Source organism: Homo sapiens, chromosome 10 (assembly GCF_000001405.40).
Source record: "Homo sapiens chromosome 10, GRCh38.p14 Primary Assembly".
NCBI lineage: Eukaryota > Metazoa > Chordata > Mammalia > Primates > Hominidae > Homo > Homo sapiens.
The window spans coordinates 128,169,731-128,177,645 of record NC_000010.11 but is presented as its reverse complement, the minus strand read 5'-3'; the positions used below and the strand labels follow the sequence as shown (position 1 = coordinate 128,177,645).

Below are 7,915 nucleotides of genomic sequence, written 5' to 3'. Positions count from 1 at the left end.
ATTGAGCCTGAGAATAACAGAAGGAGAGAGACAGTCCTATAACTTCTTTAGAAGTCAAACTCAGCTGCTCAGCTCCTCTGACATTTTTTGTGTGTGCATCATAAAAGAAAACAACAAGCTATAGTCCATATTTATCCAAAAGAAGCTCACTGAGTCCCATAAACCAGAACTTGAATGTTAGAAGCCCCTATAGCACCAATCAAGACCAGAAACTAGAGATCGTAAAATGGAAGAACGATAGAGTTGGAGAGCACCGGATGTGACCCTCTTCATTAGGAGGCATTTTTACCTTCTATTCCACTCAAAGGGGTTTAGTTTCTGCAGAAGGCAGGCAAAGGCCATAGCCTGTAAGGGAAAATTGCAGGGTAATCATGATCTTCCACACAGAAGCCAAAATAATTCTTTTCAAATAACAAAAGCCAGCTTTCATCTCACATGTGCCGGCACTGTACCGAGCACTTCACCTGTATCATTCCACTGGACTTTCACAAAACTTCATGAGGTACAGATGGTCCTCTCAAATTTATTCCCGTGCCACAGACGGAGAAACTGGGGTCCAAAGAGGAAATATCTTGAAAAGGATCAGAAAGTAAGAAGTCTGGATCAAGTTCAGTGCTTGAATGCTGCCTGGCACATAATAGGTATGCAATAAATATCTGTGGAATGAGTGAGTGCATAGATGAGTGAAATGTAGGATGCAGCTCAGAACACAGGCTCTGAGCCATCATCTCAGCAATACGGATTAGGCAATGCAAGTGAATAATCCCAAGGTATGGTACTGTAACACAGAAGAAAGAAGATGAAACCTGGATCCTAGCTGTGGGTTTGCTGAGCGAGTCACATGATCTCAGACAAGGCTTTGCTGCCCAATCTTCTCTTCTTTCAGTAATTGGAACTTTTCTCTGGGCAGTCCTTGCTAGAATATGGGGTCCTATGGATTTTGGCCAAGTAAGTCACATGGAGCCATTTGCAGGCATCTGGGTGGAGCTAAGCAAATGTTACCAAAAACAGCATCTGTAGGAAGTGCCAAGTTAGAACCAAGAAGACCATCTAGGGTCAAGTCACCATCTGGAAGAAGGCTCAAGCAATCAGTTAGAGAGCTCAGTGAACCCCCAAGGAGCTGAGGAACCAGCTCATCACCTAGTCCCACCCTTCACACCAGCCACAGTAGGATATTGAATGTAAAAGTGCAGTGTTATCCTCATCCCAGTCAGAAGGGAGATTAACTGACTTCATTTCATTGTTTATCTGATTGAAAAATACAGATTCAAATGTAAAAGAAATACAAGTGCTGATGTGAACCAAAATATGTTCAACCTTCCTAATAATCAATTAAAGATAAATTAAAATAATAGGACACCATTTACCTACAAAATTGACAAAGATTAAAAAGACTGACAAAGCCCAGTATGGATTAGGGTATAGGAAAAGGGAGGAGATGCTTCTATATTGCTGGTGGCAATACAAAATGGCACAGCCTCTTGAGATGGTAATTTGGCAACATAAGACACAAGCCTTACCCATGCCAACGCCTTTGAACAAACAACTGGAAACACACAGTAAAGACACACTTGAATCAGGATGTTCATTGCAGTATTGTTTATAAAAGTAAACAGTAAAAAAGCTAAATATTTAGCAATAGCATAGTAAATAAATATGGTAGACAATTCTGTTGTCATTAAGGATGAAAATATAGTTTATTTATTTATGTGGAAAGGACAATTCACTAACCAGACAAAAAAATACAACCCAACAGCATAAAAGAGTTATCTAAGAGGCATTCAGCCACACTGTAAATTACACCATGAGCTATTACCAGTGGGTATTTCTGGGTGATAATATGATGGGTAATTTTCCCTTCTTCTTCACATTTTCAGATATTATCAGATAATTTTGATAATCTTGTTAATTTCCTAATCATCAAATAATCAAACCAATGAATTTATTTTAATTTTTTAAAAATACAGTGAGTGACAGCAGCCACGAGCTGCCTAGAAAATGAATCTGTGCAGCCTCTAAATTACCAAAAGAATTATTTTTAAAATTAACAAAGGAAATTTTGTCATTATGGCAAAAATGGAAACAGGAAGAGAAAAATTAGGAAAAAATATATATATAATAAAATGAAACAAGAAAGCACAATACAAAGAGACATGAATGTAAGCTATTTAGAAACAGAAAGTATAAAATTAGAAATAATAGGAATAGCCTATGAAGTCACCCCAACCTTAGCTCCAGCCATACTGTATATTAGAGGATGCCATCAAGTGACAGTGACCCAGGCCACATGTGCTGGCATAGTGCAGAGAAGGCAGACATGGATCCAAGAACTTATGCAAATTCAGAAAAGAAAAAGGGAAAACATTTAGACCTGTTGGGAGAAAAGCTGAGTGTTGGGAGAGAAGCTGAGGCAGGCCTTGCATGTCTGACATAATGTAAAAGAGTCTTGGAACATGTCCAGGGTCCAGGGTCTAAAACCCCTCATGGCCTTTGGAACACCAGGCTCTGTGCCAAAGGGTGGAAGGCTACCCTGACACACCATAATCTAAGCCTAGGGCATAAAACCCCTCATGGCTTGGATAGAATCCAGGGCTCGTGGCTCTGTATATGTCTAGACTTGCTGGCTTCTTGCTCCTTGCTCTCCCAGGATCGATTGTATCTTGAGTTAAAAGAACCTGCTCCCCATTATCTCAAGTAGCAGAGCATATGCTAAACTGTCACAGCTGTAAAACATGTGCCTAATGCAATGTGCCCTTTTGACCCCCACATTCTCACCACCTGTTTCTTTGTTTGATCACCAATAAATAATCTGGGCTTCCAGAGCTCAGGGCCTTCCCAGCCTCCACACTCGCAATGGCCCCCTGGACCCACTTTCTCTCTCAAATTGTCTTTTCTCATTCCTTTGACTCTGCCGGACTTTGTCACCCCCACAACCTGGTGTTGGGTTTGATCACCCCAACATATACCCCTAGCTATTACTCTACACTCAAGTAAATTCCACAGGAGCTAAAGATATTTTTTAAATCATTACTGGTTTTTTTGTTTTTTGTGTATGTGTGTGTGTTTTTTTTTTTTGGAGATAGCGTCTCACTCTGTCTATACAAATATGTTTGTCTACACAAAGTTTTTTTTAAAGGTCTTAATATTTCACAGAAAAAAATGTATCCATCTCTTCCTTTATGATTTCTGTCTTGGCATTATGATTAAAAAGACAGTCTCCACTCCAAGATTAGAGAAATACTTACTTATGTTTTCTTTTAATAACACAAGGATTTTAGGCTAGGCTTGGGGGCTCACGCCTGTAATCTCAGCTCTTTGGGAGGCCAGGGCAGGCAGATCGCTTGAGCTCAGGAGTTTGAGACCAGCCTGGGCCACATGGCAAACCCTGTCTCTACAAAAAATACAAAAATTAGACAGGCATGGTGGTATGTACCTGTAGTCCAAGCTACTTAGGAGGCTGAGGCTGGAGGATCACTTGAGCCCAGGAGGTGGAGTTTGCAGGAAGCTGAGATCACAACACTGCACTGCAGCCTGTGTGATAGAATAAAATACTGTCTCAAAAGAAAAAAAAGAAGAAGAAGAAGAAGAAAAAGTCCAAAGTCAGTCTTACTGGGTTGAAATCATGGTGCCAGAGGCTGTGTTCTTCCTGGAAGCTCAAAGGGAGATTCTGTCTCCTTGTCTCTTCCACCATCCATCAGTGTCTGCTTTCTCCAGACTTTCCTCTGTCTTAAAGCCAGCATCACAGGCATCTTTCAATCTCTCTCCCTCCTTTGTCCATCTTTCAGGAATCCTTGTGATAACATTGGGCCTGAACAAATGATCCAGGAGAATCTTCCTTTCTCAAGATTCCTAATCACAAATGCAAAGTACCTTTTCCTATGTAAGGTAGCATATTCATAGTTTGGGGGCATTAGGATGTGGACACATTTTGGAGGGCATTTTTCTACCTACCACAGGGAACTAAATGAGTTAATGCACCAAAATAAGAAGCACCAAACTCAGAGCTTGGCAAACAACAGCACTCAGAAAGCATTGGCTAATATTATAAGTTATTCATGATCAAAGAATGTGTGGAATTTGGCTGGGTGTGGCAGCTCATGCCTGTAATCCTAGCACTTTGGGAGGCCAAGGCAGGAAAATCACTTGAGCTCAGGAGTTTGAGACCAGGCTGGGCAACATAGTGAGATCTCATCTCTATTTAATTTTTTTTTTAAAAAAGAGGCCAGACGTAGTGGCTGGCTCATGCCTGTAATCCCAGCACTTTGGGAGGCAGAGGTGGGTGGATTGCCAAAGGTCAGGAGATGATCCCATGGGAAGAGAAGAGGCGAGAGAGAGAGGTGGGAAGAGAGAGAAAGTGAAGGTGCCAAACTCTTTTTATTAATCAGCTCCAAGGAAGCTCTCAAAGGAACTAATAGAGAAGTAACTCACTTTCCTCCCTCCAGGGCATCAATCTATTCATGAGGAATCCAAACACCTCCTATTAAGCCCTACCTTCAACAATGGGGATCAAACTTCAACATGAGATTTACCTGGGTCAAATATCCAAACCATAGTACTGTATGTGTGCAAGTCTGTGTCTATGTATAACAAGTAAAGAAGGATGCACACCAAGCCTTAGTAATGAGTGTTGCTAGGTGGTAGGATTCCAGGTGATCTTGACTCTTGCATAGTTCTGAGTGCTTCGAATGTTTTGCACAGACAACAGGTTTCCCTGGTTTGGTGGATGACAGGTTTTCTCTTCTTGGGAACCATCAGCAATATCACAGAGGAAGAAACACCAGGGAGCCAAGGGGCCAGTAGCTTCCTGAACCTTCAACCTCTCTGCCACACACTCTATGTAGACTATTCCCCCTCCCAACCCCACAGTGTAGTTGTTAGGGCAAGATGAGAAAATCAGAAGATAATATGAAAATAAAAAGATCAAGACACATTCCAGAAATTATTCCTTTTGGAGGCTGACCACAATTAACCCCCAGCTTCCTGAAAGCAAAGGAGGCTTCAGTACCCCTCACCAGGCACAGTGTCTGTGTGTTGTCAGTGGGCCAGACTTCCCAGCTACCTTGTTGGTGCTCATACCTAGGATCCCCCATACACACATACCCCCTGCTCCCTCCTTGCCAGGCTAGACCCCACTTCATCTACCAGCTCTCAGTTTAGATATTGCTTCCCTGATCCAACTGACCCATCATGGACCGTCATAGCACCTGCATGTCTTTCTGTGTTTTCAAACCAGTGCCCAACATAGGTAATGAGAGGTGTAAAATAATAAATCTTCTTTGCTGCAAGCTACTGTTTGTAGTAACCTGTAACTTGTTACAGCAGCAATGGGAAACTAATACATCCACGTATGACTCTCTAGTGCAAATTCTACTTTGATCCCCATTTCATAGAGGAAAACTGAGGTTTGTTTAGAGTAATTAAGTAATGGGGAAACACTTTGATATTTTCCTGCTCATAGGGCAAGGGAGCTGGGGTATTTATACTTCAGCTCCTACAGTCCTGGATCTAGATGGGCATGAGTGTTCATTCCCAGGTACTTCAGGTCTACCATACCTGCTGTGGCCTGTAGGACTTCCCACAGGTAGAGGAGGGAGGGAAGGGGAGGGGAGGGGAGGGGAGGAGAGGGGAGGGGAGAAGAGGACAGGGGAGGGGAGGAGAGGAGGGGAGGGAAGGAAGGAAGGAAGGAAAGGAGGGCCTCAGTTACAGACAGGCAGGTATTGGTAGCTGAATGTTGAGCATCCTAAAAGGTCCAAGGGATATGAGTGAGGCATTGCTAAATAACAGTTTAAAAATTCATAATGACACAGGCCAGGCGTGGTGGCTCACACCTCTAATCCCAGCACTTTGGGAGGCTGAAGTGGGCAGATCATCTGAGGTCAGGTGTTCAAAACCAACCATGGCCAATATGGTGAAACCCTGTCTCTTCTAAAAATACAAGATTAGCCAGGCATGGTGGTACATGCCTGTAATCCTAGTTACTCAGGAGGCTGAAGTAGGAGAATCACTTGAACCCGGGAGGCAGAGGTTGCAGTGAGCTGAGATCACACTGCTGCACTCCAGCCTGGGCGACAAGAGCAAAACCCACTCTCAAAAAAAAAAAATAAAAATGAAAGAATTCATAATGACATAGGCATTTGAGTTTGTATTTGTTTGATGTTAGCCTGCCTCATTAGACTATAAACTCCATGAAGGCAAGAACTTTACCTAATCTTACAGCTGCATCTCCAGTGCCTAGCACAGGGTCTGATGCAGGGTGAGACATTCAACTAATATTTGTTTAATAAATGAAGACATGAATCAATGAATGAATGAATATCCCAGGTGAGCTCTTATCTAAACAATGCATAACACTTATCAGATAATAAGTCAGAATTTCAGAAAAGACTTGAATTATTATTCAACTTGATTTCAGCTTGGATTATTACCTCAGATTATTTAACCTGCAGCTCGCTAAGACCTCTCAATTCTTGCTTCTCATTAATGGTGTATTTTTGTCCAAAAATACAGCAACTTCAAGTTCCATGATTTGAAATAGATGAAATTGATCAAGTAGGATATTTGTCAATGAAGATTCTAAGCAGAGGCTGGCAGACTAGCATGATCTGCAAGCCAAATCTGACCCATGAGCAAAGAATGAATTTTACACTTTTAAACAGTTGAAGAAAATAAAAAGATGATTTCCTCATACATAAAAATTATATTAAATTCAAGGCCAGGCCAAGGCTGTAATCCCAGCACTTTGGGAGGCTGAAGCAGGTGGATCACTTGAGGTCAGGAGTTCGAGACCAGCCTGGCCAACATGATGAAACCCCATCTCTACAAAAAATACAAAAATTAGCCAGGCGTCGTGGCATGTGCCTGTAATCCCAGCTGCTCTGGAGGCTGAGGCAGGAGAATCACTTGAACCCGGGAGGCAGAGGTTGCAGTGAGCCGAGATTGCGCCACTGCACTCCAGCCTGGGTGACAGAGTGAGACTCTGCCTCAAAAAAAAATTATGTTAAATTCAAACTTCAGTTGTCCATGAGTAAAGTTTGATTGGAACACAGCCATTCCATTCATGTAGGAACTGCACATGGCTGCTTTGAACTGTAACAGCAGAGTTGAGTAGATGCCACAGAAGGTATGGTCCTGCAAAAGCTCAAGTTATTTACCCTCTGGCCCTTTACAGAAGTTTGTCAGGCAGCCAGGCACACTATGATGTACCTTCCAGGCACTTGGTCCACCCCAGCGGGAGAAACAACCCTCTGTCCCCTCCATGATCCCAGCCCAGATCCTCAGCAAAACCTCCTTCCCAACTGCCCCAGGTGATGTCCCCTCCCATGGCCACAGGAATATTAAAGCAATAGAGCCTATTTCTTTTTCTCCTCTCTGCATCGTTCCCGCAGCTCTGAATATTTCACCGCCCAAGAAGACATGCCCTTCTTCCGGCCAAATCGTTACATCACATTGTCCCGGTTCAATGCACTCTAACCCATGGACAGCATAGAATGCAGAAAACAGCACCAAACATGCACGACCACACACAGAGCTCTTATGAGATACATTTCCCATGAATATTGCTTAATCTAATAATTTTCCCTGTTTTAATACCATCAATTTCCCTCCTGATCAGTGCTACCCATCAGGAAGTATCTTCAGGTAATTAACATTTTTACATTTTTAATTATGAAATATTTCCTGAGCTGGCAGGGTGTCAGAGATGAGAAGCATCAAGCATCAATTGTGCTGTGATCTAAGGATTGCTGGAGGCCTGGAAAATCAAGAGGAGTGTGAATTCTGCCACCTGCTATGCCAGTACCCTCGTCTAAAACAGAACTGGACACTGGCACAAAATAATGGGGCTCAGTAGAGGCAGCTGTGTTTGGTGGCCAGCTTTGCTCTAAAACTTTGATTCCAAAAGCAGATGTCACTTTCA

The 7,915-nt window shown here is 42.6% G+C and overlaps 1 annotated feature.

The window, feature by feature from the left end:
• Nucleotides 3,729-4,928: an enhancer, noted in NCBI's record as "BRD4-independent group 4 enhancer chr10:129970982-129972181 (GRCh37/hg19 assembly coordinates)". NCBI's record gives its function as "activates an origin of replication core promoter dependent on BRD2, P300/CBP, MED14 and CDK7 cofactors, and independent of BRD4, by STARR-seq in HCT116 cells {active_cell/tissue: HCT116}" and the evidence as "EXISTENCE:reporter gene assay evidence [ECO:0000049][PMID:35650434]".